At 54.2% G+C, this 16798-nt stretch overlaps 1 protein-coding gene across 9 annotated transcripts in view, besides 1 other annotated feature; it reads right to left on the bottom strand.

Moving 5' to 3' along the window:
* SPG7 (SPG7 matrix AAA peptidase subunit, paraplegin) overlaps window positions 1-16798 on the bottom strand; it is a 49381-nt gene that overhangs the window by 7355 nt on the left and 25228 nt on the right. For 3 of the 9 annotated variants that reach the window (NM_001363850.1, NM_003119.4, XM_047434537.1), the window contains 3 exons: window positions 5642-5766; window positions 3654-3756; window positions 2301-2411 (listed from right to left, as the gene is read on the bottom strand). In NM_001363850.1, coding sequence (NP_001350779.1) covers window positions 2301-2411; window positions 3654-3756; window positions 5642-5766 — 339 coding nt within the window. Of the gene's footprint in view, window positions 1-1631; window positions 1720-2300; window positions 2412-3653; window positions 3757-4237; window positions 4543-5641; window positions 5767-8134; window positions 9471-12692; window positions 13650-16798 lie in introns of those variants that run through there. The other 6 variants (XM_047434540.1, XM_017023598.2, XM_047434538.1 and 3 more) reach the window with 6 other exon arrangements.
* Window positions 14176-14866: an enhancer, noted in NCBI's record as "H3K27ac-H3K4me1 hESC enhancer chr16:89601956-89602646 (GRCh37/hg19 assembly coordinates)". NCBI's record gives its function as "activates a minimal SCP1, AML or CMV promoter by ChIP-STARR-seq in primed H9 embryonic stem cells {active_cell/tissue: H9 hESC(primed)}" and the evidence as "EXISTENCE:reporter gene assay evidence [ECO:0000049][PMID:30033119]".

The raw sequence follows: 16798 nt of genomic DNA, 5'->3' as shown, positions 1-16798 counted from the left end.
ATGACCTGAGGACAGGAGTTCGAGACCAGCCCGACCAATATGGTGAAACCCCGTCCCTACTAAAAATAGAAAAATTAGCTAGGTGTGATGGCGGGCGCCTGCAGTCCCAGCTACTTGGGAGGCTGAGGCAAGAGAATCACTTGAACCTGAGAGACGGAGGTTACAGTAGGGCAAGATCATGCCACTGCACTCCAGGCTGGGCGACAGAGCAAGACTCCGTCTCAAAAAACAAACAAAAAAGAATGACGGGGGGGTGAGCTGAGACCCCGGCCTCTCCCTGGCTGGGCCCTGCTCCTGCCCCGTGTGGTCAAAGCAAGCCTCTCTCTGCACATCTGCCTCTTGGAGCTGCAGCTGCGGCTCTGGACACCCCAACTCAAAACGACACTCTTCAGGTCAAAGGGCTGTTGAAGGAGGTCGTGATTTCTTCTTTTATAAATGTTGCAATCATCGAAATAGCTCCTGCTGCTTTTAGGAACAAGTGCAACCCTCTGAGGAGTGTCTCCTCCTGCCCCATGGTTGGGGGGGTGCCACAGGGTCGGGGCAAGGGTCACAGAACAGCAGCTTTTGACTTTCTCCCTGGCAGGATGGGCAGAGGCCTCCTCTGAGTTACGGGCCTCCTGCTTACTTTCCCTCTCCCCTCAGACCTGGAGGCGCAGCTCCCATCCCCATCACTTTCTGGATCCTTATGGCTTCTACTCACCCCTTCAGAAGCTTTTTGCCTCAGGGACAAGGCTTTTTTTCTGTCAGTGACAGGGTCTCACTCTGTTGCCCAGGCTGGAGGGCAGTGGTGCGATCACGGCTCACTGTTGCTTCAACCTCCCAGGTTCAAGCAATCCTCCTGCTGCAGCCTCCTGAGTAGCTGAGACCAGAGGTGTGCTCCACCACCATGCCTGGCTAATACTCTTTATTCTTTTCTTTTAAGAGATGGGGTCTTGCTGTATTGCCCAGGCTGGTCTCAAACTCCTGGCCTCAAGCAACCCTCCTGCCTCAGCCCCCAAAGTGCTGGGATTACAGGCATGAGCCACAGTGCCCAGCCAGGGACAAATGTTTGCATTAAATCTCCCCTGTTCAGCTTACTGGTGAGGCTTCATTTCCTGTCTCAGATTTTCCACACATCTGTAAGTGTCCATTCTGTACAACTTGAATCAGCTCGTGGTCCTGAGCACTCAAGTACGTCATGTATTTTCTTTCAACTGGCTTGTGGTTCCCACTCAGTCCTTCCTGCTTTGCTACTATTATCAAAAGCTTTTCGATTTCCACATAAAAGTAAATGGTTACACGAAAATAAATTTCAGTAAGACACAGGCAGCGCCAGTCCTCTCGACCCGCAGGGCTGTCGGAGAGAAGCCAGGTGTGTTTTGCAGTGTCTGGCACAGCAGCTGCCCCACTCCTCTGCAGGAACCCACTGCTTTCCCAAGCTGAAGCCCTGGGGACCTGCAAGAGGCGTGTTCGTGCTAGGAATTCACTCGAATTGAGGGTGAGGAACTCGGTTCTCGCAGGGATAGCTCGCAAAGGAGGCTCGTGCTCCTCAAACACCTGGGGCAAGAACCACTTCCCTTTTCAAACGTTCAACCTGTCTCACACTGACAGTGCGGGTCTGAACTCCATTCCATGAGATGACTGATCACGTCTGGGTGTTGCCATCATAGCTATGGAAACCTCCAGCAGCTCCGATTCCCAGTTTGGTCCTCTCTCCTCACAGACGTCGCAGACCCCACACTGAGCAGCCACGGAACGGCAGTCAGAGGCGGTCAGCCCACCGGTCACCCGTCACCAAAACTCATCTCCCGTTCCTACTGACGGTCGGGACCATGAGTTTCACCAGAGGTGGTGCTGCAGATCCACACCTCTCCGCAGAGCCCCTGCTGCGCTGAAAGCACGGCTGTCCCTCCACAGCCACGGGCGGCAGCAGCCCTCCGGCCCACAGTCAGCGGCTGGAGCTCAGCCCCCATGAGGCTGGGGCTAGGCTGAGCCCACCACACCCAGGCTGGCAAGACATTTTTAGTTTTTATTATTTTTATTTTTGGGGGGCATTTTTTATTTTTATTTTTTCACTTTCTTTGGCAAGGCATTTTTTATTTCTGTTGGACGAGCGTCTACTCTTAGGTAAATCTGTGATATTTTAAACTAAGGAAAAGTACAAGGTATCATAAAGACATGAGTTACGCAGAACTGAAACGCAACGTGTGTTCCTTCCTGTGTGATGGTTCCATCCACCTCACCTCTCAATACCTGCCTGGGTATTTCTGGGGTTCAAGCCCTGCTAAGGAGGGCCTTCACCCAGGGCGCGCCCCCTGTACCTGCGAGGACGCGCTCCACGGCGTACTCGAAGTTGAGAGTGTGCACGGAAGTGTGTCCCTCCCGCGCCGCGTGCAGCGCAGCCTCATTGCAGATGTTGGCGATGTCAGCCCCTGTCAACACAAACAGCCACGGTGTGGGTGGGTGGGTTTCTGCTATCAGGGCTTAAGAGGAGGAAGGGGCCCTCAAGGGAGAACAAAGATGGCCGGGCATGGTGGCTCACCCCTGTAATCCCAGCACTTTGGGAGGCTGAGGTGGGCAGATCACCTGAGGTCAGGAGTTTGAGACCAGCCTGGCCAACAGGGTGAAACCCTATTGCTACTAAAAATACAAAAATTAGCCGGGCGTGGTGGTGAGCGCCTGTAATCCCAGCTACTCAGGAGGCTGAGGCAGGAAAATCGGTTGAACCCAGGAGGCGGAGGCTGCGGGGAGCCAAGATCACGCCACTGCACTCCAGTCTGGGCGACAGAGTAGGACTCTGTCTCAAAATAAATAAGTAAATAAATAAAAGGAAGAACAAAGAGGGAAAAGAGACCAAGAACCAAGAGTGCTGGTGAGAGCGTCTGGGAGAGAGGCACGGGGAGCTGGCGCCAGGAGCAGAGCTGGGGAGAGCGGCAGGCGCCGGCGCCAGGAGCAGGGGTGGGGAGAGCGGCAGGCACTTGCACCGTGTTCCACTGAGGCCATTCCACAGACGAGACACAGAACCGCCAGGCTCCATCCGCCCTGACGCCCGTCTCTCCTCCCAAGGGCAGTTAGTTCCACACCCCATCTTGTGGCTGATTCCACCTAACAGCTCATGAGCATTGATGGCAAAGAAATTAAAGGCTCTCTAGTAACCACAAAATTCTAGTGAAAGACCCTAACGAATAATCAAAGGGCAAATTCATCTCATAATAAAAGGGAGGTTTGTTGACATTAACTTTTAAAATGTGAACCACACAGCAGGAAAAGCATCTTGAGGTATGATTTCTATTTCTACAACTTGACAGAGACCGTGAGGGTCAGAGGGAGGCGGCTTTGCCGGGACTGCGTGGTCTGACTCTGGGTCTGACGGGAAACGCCGGCATGACTGGTCACTGTGTGGAAGCAACATAACTCCACTATCTCTGGAAACAACACAGACCGGGAACCACCGTCTGCTTTTCCACCCCGGGGCGGAGGACGGAGTGCGGGTGCCGTCTGGACCTCCTGCTGCCCCACATACACATCAGCTCCCTCCCAGGCTTGTACTGAGCAGAGGCCCCCAGAGAAGGAGCAGCGCCCACCCCACAGAGGAGGCCTCGATGCTGTTTGCGCAGGTGACACCACCTGCCCTCAGGACGTGACGCTGCCCAGGCTGCGGGTTGAGAACGTACCACTGAATCCTGGTGTCAGCTCTGCCAGACGCTGGGAGTAAAAGGTGCTGGACTGGGTCAGCTTCAGGCTCTTCAGGTGCTGCTCAAAAATCTCCCGCCTCTCCTGCCAGAACCAGGGGAGGAAAGACAGTCGGGCTCAAGCCTAGTTACTGCCACAGGTGCGGCATGTTTGTCTGTGGGGGGGGGGGGTCCCCAAGTAGCTGGGATTACAAGTGTGTGCCATCATGCCTGAGTTTTGTATTTTTAGTAGAGACGGGGTTTCGCAAAGTTGGCTAGGCTGGTCTCGAACTCCTGGCTTCAAGTGATCCACCTGCCTCGGCCTCCCAAAGTGCTGGGGTTACAGGCGTGAGCCACCATGCCTGGCCACAAGCAGCATTTTAAACACGAACAGAACACTGTTGGATGGCCGGGCCCGGTGGCTCACACCTGTAATCCTAGCACTTTGGGAGGCTGAAGTGGGCAGTCTGGCCAACACGGTGAAACCCCATCCCTACTAAAATACAAAAATTAGCCAGGCAAGACGGCGGGTGCCTGTAATCCCAGCTACTCGGGAGGCTGAGGCGGGACAATCACTTGAACCTGGGAGATGGTGGTTGCAGTGAGCCGAGATCGCGCCGCTGCACTCCAGCCTGGGGGATAGAGTGAGACTGTCTCAAAAAAAAAAAAAAGAGAACGCTCTTGGAAGGAGAGGTGGGTGGGGATCACTTGAGGCCAGGGGTTTGACACCAGCCTTGGCAACACAGCGAGACTCTGTTAAAAATTAACCAGCACGGCGGCGCACGCCCATAGTAGTCCTAGCTCCTCAGCTTGAGCCCTGAAGGTTGAGGCCGCAGTGAGTGGTGATCGCAGCACTGCACTCCAGCCTGGGTGACAGCGCAACACCCTTTCTCTAAAAATTGAAAGAAAAATTAAAAAGAAAAAAGAAAAAATTATAGCAGAATAGCTAATGAAGCACGTCACACACAGCAAATGCTTATTCTGCAAAACTTCCAATTCCCACACATGTTCCATGCGTCTAAATCCTGATGTAAAATGTTTCTTACACAGTCAAAAAGCCAGGAGCCGCCCTCCCCTGGAGAAGCTGCCCTCCCCTGGAGAAGCCGTGTCCCCTGGAGAAGCTGCCATCCCCTGGAGAAACAGTGTCCCCTGGAGAAACAGTGTCCCCTGGAGAAGCCATGTCCCCTGGAGAAGCCGTGTCCCCTGGAGAAGCCATGTCCCCTGGAGAAGCAGTGTCCCCTGGAGAAGCCGTGTCCCAGCGGGAAGGGCTTCTGCTCCGCCCTTCACTCTCCATCCCAACAGAGACTGAGCACCGGCTGAGAGCCGCTGAGCCCAGCCCTGCTCCCCAGGCTGCACTGATGGAACATTAACCCACCAGCAGACCCGGAGGCCCTCTCTCCAAACCCTCCGCTCCATGAGCTGAACTCCTGCTCCCTCAGGGCAGCAACAAAGGCCCTTTGGCCAGGAAGTGTAACGTCCAACCAGAGCCCTGTGACAGAGGAGGGATCAGGCGAGAGGCCTCAGGACTTCTACTCCCACCCCAATTTCAGGGCAGCTGCACAGTCCACGTCCCCAGAGCCCACGCTACGGATGGAAGGAAGTGATGCCACACAAGAATAAAGTTTCCCACAATTTTTCCTCCTGGATTTTGTTTCAAAGGATTTGCTATAAAAACCAGACTGATACCCAGGATAAAAGGAAAACCAATAGCAGGTGAACAGAACTGCAAAACCCCGAGCAGTGAGTGCAGCCATTGGGCAGGTCTGCCAGGGGGCGTGCAGCCAATGTGGGGGCCACAGCAGTGAGTGCAGCCGGTGGGCAGGTCTGCTGGGGGCGTGCAGCCGATGCGGGGGCCACGCTGGACACTGCCAGCACCTGTGGGGCTGTGACAGGCTTCACACCAAGAAGTGTCTTAGAGGAGAGGCCAGACCACTCAGAGCGAGTGGGGGCGGCCCAGGTGGAGTGGGAGAGGCTGGGATCCTGGCTCTGACCTGCAGCGTGGGGAGATCAATGAAGACGTGCCGGTCCAGTCGGCCTGGCCTCATCAGAGCACCGTCCAAAATGTCAGCTCGGTTCGTGGACGCCAGGACGATGACATGGTCTGTGGTACCCATTCCTGAGGGGACAGAGCAGACAGTGGCTCTGAGGGTAGGGGTCCTGACACAACAGATTTCCCCTGCAGGTTCCCCTTCAGGACACAGGAGGGAGAGAGACCCCCCTAAGGCCCAGAGAGAAAGGAACAGCCCGGTCCTTCTGAACTAGGAGCCGCGATCCCCCATCGCTCCCAGCCAGCATCACCAGGAGGAACAGGAATTTGCCTATTTTGACAAGTGCAAACAGCAGAACTGTCCAAGGCCCTCCGGGAGCTCCTACAGCATCCTGGAGCCTCTCCCTGCCTCACGGTGCCATCTGGGAGCCGGTCCTAACAGCCACCCCCCACCCCCCACCGCCCTGTCATCATTATTGTGACTTTGTAACATTTTAGCTAACACCCAGCTTTAGGCTGTGACTTGGAAACATTTTATCTTCAACGTCTGGCCCTAGGCCCTGGGTTTCAGGCTTGACGTTTGTCATCGGAGAATTTAAAAGTGAGTCCAGAAACGATCACTGATCCCTGGTGTATGTGAACCTTGACTGGCCCTTGATGTGAATAAATCAACTGCGAAAAGAGATTTATGAAGCTGCTGGGAACACCTGACTGGATGCTCGTAAGAACGTTCAGGTGTTATGATGCTGTGGTGTTTCTCTGAATTTAAAGAAACGTACTCAGAGCATATAAGATTCAAAACTATGGGTTTGCTTTAAAAGAATCCAGTCCACCAGGTGCAGTGGCTCACGCCTGTAGTCCCAGAACTTTGGGAGGCCGAGGCAGGCAGATCACGAGGCCAGGAGTCCAAGAGAAGACTGGCCAAAATGGTGAAACCCCACAAAAGATACAAAAAATTAGCCGGGTGTGGTGGCGTGCACCTGTAATCCCAGTTACTCAGGAGGTTAAAGCAGAAGAATCGCTTGAACCTGGGAGGCGGAGGTTGCAGTGAGCCAAGATGACACCACTGCACTCCAGCCTGGGCTACAGGGCAAGACTCCGTCAGGAAAAAAAAAAAAAAAAAAAAAGAATCCACTGGTGGCCAGATGCGGTGGCTCACGCCTGTAATCCCAGCACTTTGGGAGGCTGAGGCAGGTGGATCACCTGAGGTCAGAAGTTCTAGACCATCCTGGCCAAAAGGGTGAAACCTCATTTCTACTAAAATACAAAAATTAGCTGGGTGTGGCGCATGCCTGTAATCCTGGCTACTCGGGAGACTGAGGCAGGAGAATCGCTTGAACCAGGAAGCAGAGGTTACAGTGAACCGAGATTGTGTCACTGTACTCCAGCCTGGGCGACAGAGCAAGACTCTCAAAAAAAAAAAAAAAAAGGAAAAGGTCCACAATAAACAGTGTTAAAAGTAAAGATACGACAAGACCTACCTTGACTAATGTAAGAACAGGACCCGTGACTAATGTAAGAACAGGATATAGCCAGGCGCGGTGGCTCACGCCTGTAATCCCAGCACTTTGGGAGGCCGAGGAGGGCGGATCACAAGGTCAGCAGATGGAGAGCATCCTGGCTAACACAGTGAAACCCCATCTCTACTAAAAATACAGAAAATTAGCTGGGCGTGGTGGCGGGCGCCTGTAGTCCCAGCTACTCCGGAGGCTGAAGCAGGAGAATGGCGTGAACCTGAAGGGTGGAGCTTGCAGGGAGCCGAGATCACGCCACTGCACTCCAGCCTGGGCGACAGAGCAAGACTCCGTCTCAAAAAAAAAAAAAAAAAAAAAAAAGAACAGGATCTACCATGACTAATGTAAGAGCAGGATCTACCGTGACTAATGTAAGAAACCCTTAATAATCCCAGCACGTTGGGAGGCCAAGGTGGGAGGACCATGTGAGCCTAGGAGGTGAAGGCTGCAGTGAGCTATGATCATGCCCCTATACTCCAGCCTGGGCAATGGAGTGAGACCCTGGCTCCAGCAACCCCATGTTCTTAGGACAGGACCTTGAACGCTCTGAGGAGGCTGAGGGGCCTGACCAGCTTCTCCAGGGCCACTGTCCTGAGCCTCACTAAGCCGTAGCCGCCAGGTCTGGACAGCAGCTCAGTCCAAGACACACCCCACTCCCAAGCAAATCGCTCCCGAATTTCAAAGAAACTTTGAAAGACACAACCATTCTCCCTGGTTCCACACGTCAGAATGTGATAAGCTGGGATGCTAAGTCCCAGTCACATTTCTACAAGGGAGATCACAGAAGAGAATCACCTCGCCAAGGCAAAGACAGTGTCTTAAAATCACGGTGACTTTTAAAATAAACTCAGAAACAAAAACAGGCAGCAGAAGCACAAGTGCCTTGTCTCACTATGACACGAGGAACAAGAGGCTGGGGAGGGTGGGGACTGGGACCCAAGCTGGCCCCTCCAGAGCTGTCTGGAAGGCCTGCCAAGGCTTACTGCTCAGTGTCGTGGAGCGCCTTCCTTGCAGAGGCCAGGGCTGTGGATACAGAATTCTGAAAGATTGTATAAACAGTGAAAAAAATGGGAAAAGTAATAGGAACACCGGTCTCAAAGAAAAACAGCAGCCAGGCCAAAGAGGTGCAGTGCGAGCTCCTAGAGGGGGCGGCGCCGGGTTCAAGCACAGCTCGGCCTTCAGCAGAGCCCAGCCACCCTGCGGGGCACGTGCTCCCCACCGGGCTATGTGTCAGGATGGCCACCCTGCGGGGCACGTGCTCCCCCCGGGCCGCTATGTGTTAGGATGGCCACCCTGCGGGGCACGTGCTCCCCACCGGGCCGCTATGTATCAGGGTGGCCACCCTGCAGGGCACGTGCTCCCTACCGGGCCGCTATGTGTCAGGGACATGTGGTTTCAGGATACAGACTTCCTGGGACTGGACACATGCTCCCCCTGGGCAGCTATGTGTCAGGGACATGCGGTTTCAGGATACGGACTTTCTGGGACCGGATCCCTGGTGTGACTTTTTAAGTTTTGTATTCTGATGGTAACAGACACACAACAAATTGCAAAAACAGCACAGAGCAGTCCCTTTGGCCCTGGTCCCCCAGCAGCTGTGCGTTCAGTAGCTGCAAAACAAAGGCAAAGCCAGGAGACTGACATGGAAACGCCAGGCCCCTGCTCAGATGCCCCCACTCCTATGTGCTCTCACCTGTGTGTGTGCTCCACAGATGGACACCTGTGTCACACGCACGTTCACATAACGAGCATCTCCCCTCAAGACACAGAACCGCCCTCCCCAGAGGCATCCCTCCTCCCTGGAGACCTCCCCTAACTGCTGACAACCAGTAACCCGTTCTCCATCCCCAGAATTTTGTTATTTTGACAATTTCGTACAAGTGGAGTCATACGATACTAAGCCTGGCTCTTCTCACTTTGCGTCATTTCCTTGTTGCTGCAGGAAGAAAGTTTCCTTCTACTGCTGCATAGAACACCATGATAAGGATACACCAGTTTCAGCTCTTCTATTGCTGCGTAGAACACCGTGATAAGGATACACCAGTTTCAGCTCTTCTATTTCTGCGTAGAACACCGTGATAAGGATACACCAGTTTCAGCTCTTCTATTTCTGCGTAGAACACCGTGATAAGGATACACCAGTTTCAGCTCTTCTATTTCTGCGTACAACACCGTGATAAGGATACACCAGTTTCAGCTCTTCTATTTCTGCGTACAACACCGTGATAAGGATACACCAGTTTCAGCTCTTCTAGTCGCTGTGTAGAACGCCGTGATAAGGATACACCAGTTTCAGCTCTTCTATTTCTGCGTAGAACACTGTGATAAGGATACACCAGTTTCAGCTCTCAGCCACTGAATGGCACCTGGGTCACTTCCAGTTTTTAGCTATTACAGGTAAATGAGCGTCGGCGCCCAGGCATTTCGTGTGAGCCTAAGTCTTTGCTTTCCTGGGATGAGCACCCAGGAGGGTGGATGCGGGGTCATGTGGTGAGCGCATGTGGACACGGGGTCACATGGTGAGCACACGTTTAGTTTTTTAAGAAGCTGCCAAACTGTTTCCCAGTGAGGCTGCACCACGTCACACCCCCATCAGCAGCGTACAAGGGATCTGGTTTCTTTGCATCCTCAGCAGCGTGTGGTGTTGTCACTGTTTTTTGAGTTTTGTTTTGTTTTTGAGATGGGGTCTCGCCCTGTTGCCCAGGCTGGAGTGCAGTGGGGTGACCACGGCTCCCTGTAGCCTCGAACTGCCAGGCTCAAGTGATCCTCCCACCTCAATCTTCTGAGCAGCTAAGACTACAGGTGCGCACCACCACTGCCAGCTAATTTTTGTATTTTTTTAGAGACAGAATCTCACTATGTTGCTCAGGCTGGTTTCAAACTCCCGGGCTAAAGTAATGCTTCCAACTCAGACGCGCAAAATGCTGGGATCACACGTATGGCCCAGATCTGGGCCGGTCACTGCTCTTTACTCTAGCTCTCCTAAGAGGTGTGTGTTCCTATCAAAATCTCAGCAAGATACTTTGGTAGATAGGAACAAGCGTATTCTAAAAATTACAGGAAAAGGCAAAGGAATAGCTGAAACAATTCTGGTAAAGAACAAAGTGGGAGGAATCACTCCACCTGCTCTCGTCTCACAGAAGCGAGAGACCAGTTGTGTGCGGAAGGACAGACTCACAGAGCCAGCACAGACCCCCACATGCACCTGAGCTCCGGCAAAGGTGCAAGCACAACTTGGTGGAAAGAAGACAGCATTTCAGACCAGTGGGGCTGGAGCACTTTTCCACAGGCAGAAAATGAACCTGACCAAACCTCCCACTTCATGTAGACGTTAACTTAAAATAAGATCATGGATTAAATATAAAACTTCTATAAGATACCCATGAGAGGCCAGGCATGGGGGCTCACACCTGTATTCCCCACACTTTGAGGAGCTGAGGTGAAAAGATCATTTGAGCCCAGGAGTTCAAGAGCAGGCTGGGCAACAAGGTGAGACCCCCAACTACACAAAAAAAATTCTTTTTTAATTAGCCAGGCATGTTGGTGCACACACCTGTGGTCCCAGCTACTCAGGAGGCTGAGACGGGAGGACGGCTTGAGTCCCAGAGGCTGAGGCTGCAGTGACCCATGATCGCACCACTGCACTCCAGCCTGGGTGACAGAGCAAGACTCTGTCTCAAAGAAAAGAAAAAAGAAACCCACAGGAGAAAATCTTTAGGATCTAGGAATAGGCAAACAGTTCTTTTATTTATTTGTTTTTTTGAGAAGGAGTTTCGCTCTTTTTTGCCCAGGCTGGAGTGCAATGGTGCGATCTTGGCTCACTGCAACCTCCGCCTCCCGGGTTCAAGCGATTCTCCTGCCTCAGCCTCCCAAGTAGCTGGGATTACAGGTACACGCCACCACACCCGGCTAATTTTGTATTTTTAGTACAGATGGGGTTTCTCCATATTGGCCAGGCTGGTCTTGAACTCCTGACCTCAGGTGATCCACCATGCCCGGCGGGCAAACAGTTCTTAGACTTCACAGTAAAAACGAGATCTATAAAAGCAAAAATTGATAAACTGAACTTTATCAAAATGAGCAGCTTTTGCTGTTCCCCGTTAGAGGGTGAAAGGACAAGGGACACATAGAGTGCGTAAACCACATGTCCAAAAAAGGGCTGTGTTCAGAGCCCTGGAAAACACTCAGAACTCAGTCAAGACACCCACTGGGAAAATGGCCCCTTGGGCCTCGAGATCTGCACCCCCAAGCCCTGAGCTCCCACCCCTTAGCTCCTGCCTGGGTTTCCCACAGTATCCTCAGTGTTCAGGGCTGCCTGCTGGTCCACCATCACTGGGACCTAAGACATTGTCCAAAAAACAAGCAACCAAACTCAGGATAAAGGACCGGCTGCCACAGCCTCACTTCCCACAGGGCCGCAGACAGGACCCCTGAGAGGCCCTCAACTTGCCGCAGGACCCGACAGTTTGGGGGATGTTTTTGGGTCAGAGGCTCCTTCCATTCCCTGTTGGAGACGCATGTGGAAGACGGCAGGGCAGGCAGAGGCAGCACCACAGGGAGCAAGCCACGGACAGAAGCTAGACCTGACCCCGCTCTCCCGCTCAGAGCCTGAGATCCTTGAACCAGCACCCACTTCCTCTGAGAGGACAGAGGGCAGAAACAGCAGCATCACCTCTGGGCCACGAGCAAGTGCTCAAGAGCTGACTCAAGTGGGAATAAGCCATACTGCCGGCCCCTCCCCGCCTGCGGAGCCCAGAAGCCCAGGGCTCCTCGTCCACCCGGGGAATAAGCCACACTGCCGGCCCCTCCCTGCCTGCGGAGCCCAGAAGCCCAGGCCTCCTCCTGTCCATCCGTCCCCCAGGCTCACTGTCCATTCTGCTTGGACCTGGGAGAATTTCCCCCCGTGCTCTCTAAATGGCTCTTGTCAAGATTTTACCAACAGGACTTCCACATGGAGTGGTGACAGTGGATGCCCTGGCTATGTGGGTGTGGAGGGTACTCGTGCTTTCTTTGAGGGATGTCTCAACGCACCAGGACAGCACGAGACGCCCAACCCGAAGTGGCTGCTGCCACCTGAGTGCGCCCTTCCAACCTGAGGTCTAAAATGGGGAAGAAAGCTGCATCCCCATCCCGCTCCCGGCAGAGCCAATGCTTCTGAGTGGGAGAACACACTCTGAACCCCAAGTGTGGTTCTCTGCGCTCCAGCCTGGCCACACCAGCGTCACCCAGGGCTCGGCAGTGCTCGCAACCCCCAGGGAAGTACAGGGGCAGTCGGCGGGCGTGAGTTGTGAGTCAGACGGCCGGCTCCTGCTGGGCCTCAGCTTCTCCCTCTGCCAGCGCCCATCTACCCACCTGGCAGGCAGTCCACGGCTCCCAGGGCAGAGCGTGCTTGATACATTTACTGCCACATTAAGGACAAAGGTAGGGGTGTCCCGGGTCACACTGGGACCAGGACCAGGACCCCAGCTTCCCAGGACCTCATTCACTGCCCAGACACTGGGAGCCTGGACCTGAAAGAGCTCACGGCAAGCACTGCCAAGCTCACATGCTGATGACTTTATTTTTCACAGACTGAAAAAACAGAGCCTGGCATGGTGACTCAAGCCTTGAGTCCCAACTACTTAGGAAGCTTGAGCCTAGGAGGTGGAGGCTGCAGTGAGCTATGATGGTGGCACTGCACTCCAGCCTGGGCGACAGAACGACACCCTGTCTCTGAAGAAAAAAAAAGTCGAAGCATAAAATGTTCACAGCAGCCTTTTCTGTGTGTGGCTGCACGTCAGGGGCCGTCGTCTTGCTTCCACCACCAGGGGATGACTACGTTGAAGGGAGGCCTGTGTGAACCGCTGGGCTTCCGCAGCTCCCGCGTGTGGTCAGCGCCGACGCTCCCCATCAACGCTTTCCAGCACAGGAGCCGGGACCTGGACGTCCATCGCCGGCGGTGCCTCCAGTGCTCTTTGACTTGCGCCCTTCCCGGGGGCTCTGGGGTCCGCAGGACACCGCCATGGACCGGCTGACGTAACCAACAAGGCTTGGGCTTTTCTCTTCCCCAGTGAGATTTCCCCACGACCGGCACAGCGTCGGCCCTATCCTGTGCGCTTCCATGAACGGAAGCAACAAAGCCTGGCCTGGGACCTCGGCAGGGCTGAGCATGCACAGCTGTGGCTCTGCATAAAGGGACTTGTTTAGAGCTGGCACTCAACAAGAGGCCTTCAGTCAGCGGATTCCCAGGCCTGAGCAAATCCGGGGGCGGAAGCAGCTATTCTTATGATGGCACAGAGAGGTTATGTGGAGAAGATCGTTTGATATACGCTTGCCTTTGGGCTCAAGTCACTCAAAAAGGTGGTCTCTATCTTCAGTGCAAAAGGCAACCCCAGCAGAGCGAATGACCCTCCATTGCCCTCCGTGACCCTGTGGGCTCCGTGAGACAGGAGCAGGCGGGGGTCTTTCCTCTGAGCTTCCTCATGGTCCCCTGGGAGGGTAGCTGGTCAAGAGAGGCACCTGGTTGGAGAAGAAGGCCGCAGACTCACAGGACGAAGACCTTGGTGTCCACGCCACACAGCCAGAGCAGCGCAGCCGCCCGCCTCGCCCGATCTCACCCGCCTCGCCTGCCTCGCCCACCTCGCCCGCCTCACCCGCCCTCACCCGCCTCACCCACCTCACCTCACCTGCCTCACCTCACCCGCCTCACCTGACCTCACCCGCCTCACCTCACCTGCCTCACCTGACCTCACCCGCCTCACCTGACCTCACCCGCCTCACCTCACCTGCCTCACCTGACCTCACCCGCCTCACCCGCCTCACCCGCCTCACCGAGAGTCCTCAGACTCTGCGGCCAGAACCCAAGGTGCTCTGCAGATTTCCTCAAAACCCAAACCACCCACCCATCCTTGAGCAGCCTCCAGAAGCAATGGTCAGAGCCACACTGAAGGCCACACAGCACCAGAGCGGCCACACTGAAGGCCACACAGCACCAGAGAGGCCACACTGAAGGCCACACAGCACCAGAGGCCACACTGAAGGCCACACAGCACCAGAGAGGCCACACTGAAGGCCACACAGCACCAGAGAGGCCACACTGAAGGCCACACAGCACCAGAGCGGCCACACTGAAGGCCACACAGCACCAGAGAGGCCACACTGAAGGCCACACAGCACCAGAGCGGCCACACTGAAGGCCACACAGCACCAGAGCGGCCACACTGAAGGCCACACAGCACCAGAGAGGCCACAGTGAAGGCCACACAGCACCAGAGAGGCCACAGTGAAGGCCACACAGCACCAGAGAGGCCACAGTGAAGGCCACACAGCACCAGAGAGGCCACACTGAAGGCCATACAGCACCAGAGAGGCCACAGTGAAGGCCACACAGCACCAGAGAGGCCACAGTGAAGGCCACACAGCACCAGAGAGGCCACACTGAAGGCCACACAGCACCAGAGAGGCCACATAAAGATGCTCTGCAGAGAAGCAGTACAGCGAGCCTGTAGGCTCCAGAGGCCTCTAAAACGCATGGTGATCTCCGCTTGAGGTACAGGGCAGCTCTCCCAGCAGAGGCGGTGGGGTCCCTGAACCCCAAGGACCCACCTCTGAGGACGGGTCTCTCCTCAGTGACACCTCAGACATCACAGAATCTGAACTGCTCACCCCACATCTCTGAAGACATTGTGTTCTCTGAAAACTCGACTCCCATGACCACTTGCTGTGTGTGCAGAAGGCAGCCATTCAGGTCTCGGTTGCTCACGCGTTAGTTCCTGAATAAGCGTGTTGAGAGACGACTGGAGACACGGGGGACAAGCAGCAGGAGAGGTGTGAAGCATTCTCCGCAAACGTCGTTGCGTCCTGCACACTGTCGGGAATCTCACTTTCATCTTCTAACCTCAGAGCTTTCAGAGCCTAGAGAACACTTCTGTGGGCATCAGTCTACCTGACTTCACAGCAGCCCAGAGGCAGACGGGAACGCGGGGCACCCAGAAGAGACGGGCGCCAGCACAGGGAACATGGAGCACCCAGAAGAGATGCATGCCAGCCCAGGGCCAAAGTCCTCAGCAGAGTCCACCGCCAGCGACAGGTGCAGCGACACTGTAAACCTCAAGGCACACCACAGCACTGCTGCACCAATCCTGCCAAATGCACTGCTCGACCTGATCCTGAGGACATGTCACAGTTCCAGAGATGACATTCCTGAATGTCACTGGCCTGTACAGTGTCACAGTCACCAAAGACAAACACTGAGGAACAGTGAAGCCCACCTGTAATCCCAGCTACTCGGGAGGCTGAGGCAGGAGGATTGCATGAGCCAAGGAGTTCAAGACCAACCTGGACAACACAGCAAGACCCTGTCTCAAAAAACAAGACCAACAAATGACACAGGAGGGGAAGAGACCAAGGAGACCAAACATCCACATCGGGGGGGCGGAAGCACCTGTGGATGGGTCTGGGGGGCAGTCACGGACAGCGTGGCCTGGTCCGAACCTGCAGACCATGTATGTCACAGTCAGCCTTCAGGGAGCTTGCAGGAAGGCATCAAAGAACACTCTGACTACCGTGGCAACGCTTCTGTAAGTCTAAAGTGATTTTGCAATGAGAGGTGGAGCAAGCTCCCCCTTAGCTGAGTAGTCAAAACTGGGCTGTGCATGTGTGCTAACACACACGACTCCAGACAGCCACAGGCAACAAAGAAAACAGGAAGTCAACGGCTCTCTCGGAGCCAGAACACTTGGGGAAAAAAAGTCTCCCTCATCTACAATACCTAAAATGTAACTAGAATTCTGATTAAAAATAAATCTTACAAAGCAGAGACTTCAGAAGATGCTTGTACTTATGTTAACACAGCCTGATTCACCACAGTCCACATGTCCACCGACGGGCAAATAACAAGACGCAGCCCCTACACACAAGGCAGCATCGTTCAGCCTCAAAGAGGAAGGAAATCCTGACACGTGCCCAGTACAGGTGGCCCCTAGAGATGTTATGTGCTTGAAAGAAGGCGGATAGCAAAGGACAGACACTGTAGGACTCCAATTCTATGAGGTCCCTACAACAGTCAAACTCAGAGACAGACAGCGGGACACAGGCTGCAAGGGGCTGGGGATGGAGAATGGGGAGGGTTGAATGGGGACAGGTTTTCGGTTTGAAGAGAAAGTTCTGGAGACACGTGGTGGTGGCGGTTGCTCAACAGTGCGAATATACTGAATGTCAATGAACTTCAGAATGATTAAAATGGTAAATCTATGTGAACGTATTCATTGTCTTTTAGAGACAGGGTCTCGCTGTGTTGTCCAGGCTGCAATGCAGAGGCTGTTCACAGGCGAGACCATCGCACAGCACACTCCCTAGCTCAGGTTCCAGCACTCCTTCTGCCTCGGCCTCCCCAACAGCTGGGAACACAGGCCTGCACCACCAAGCCTGGCTATCTATTTTACCACAACAATATCCACATAAAAAAAATAATAATAATCTTGCAAAACTAGCTCAGAAGAAAAATAATTCCATGTCACCTTTATTGGGTCAGCTCCATTAAAAAAAAAAATTGTCAAAGCCAGACCAGAAGTCATTTTCAAGGGGTCACAACAAATGGGGTGTCTCCCTCGCTGCAGTGCAGCACCCTGATGCTCTGCTCCGCCCTCTAACCAGCGTCACACCCTCTC

The sequence above is a fragment of the Homo sapiens genome, chromosome 16, assembly GCF_000001405.40.
Source record: "Homo sapiens chromosome 16, GRCh38.p14 Primary Assembly".
In the NCBI taxonomy this organism is placed as follows: domain Eukaryota; kingdom Metazoa; phylum Chordata; class Mammalia; order Primates; family Hominidae; genus Homo; species Homo sapiens.
The sequence above is the reverse complement of the archived record's forward strand: the minus strand, read 5'-3'. Positions and strand labels throughout refer to the sequence as shown.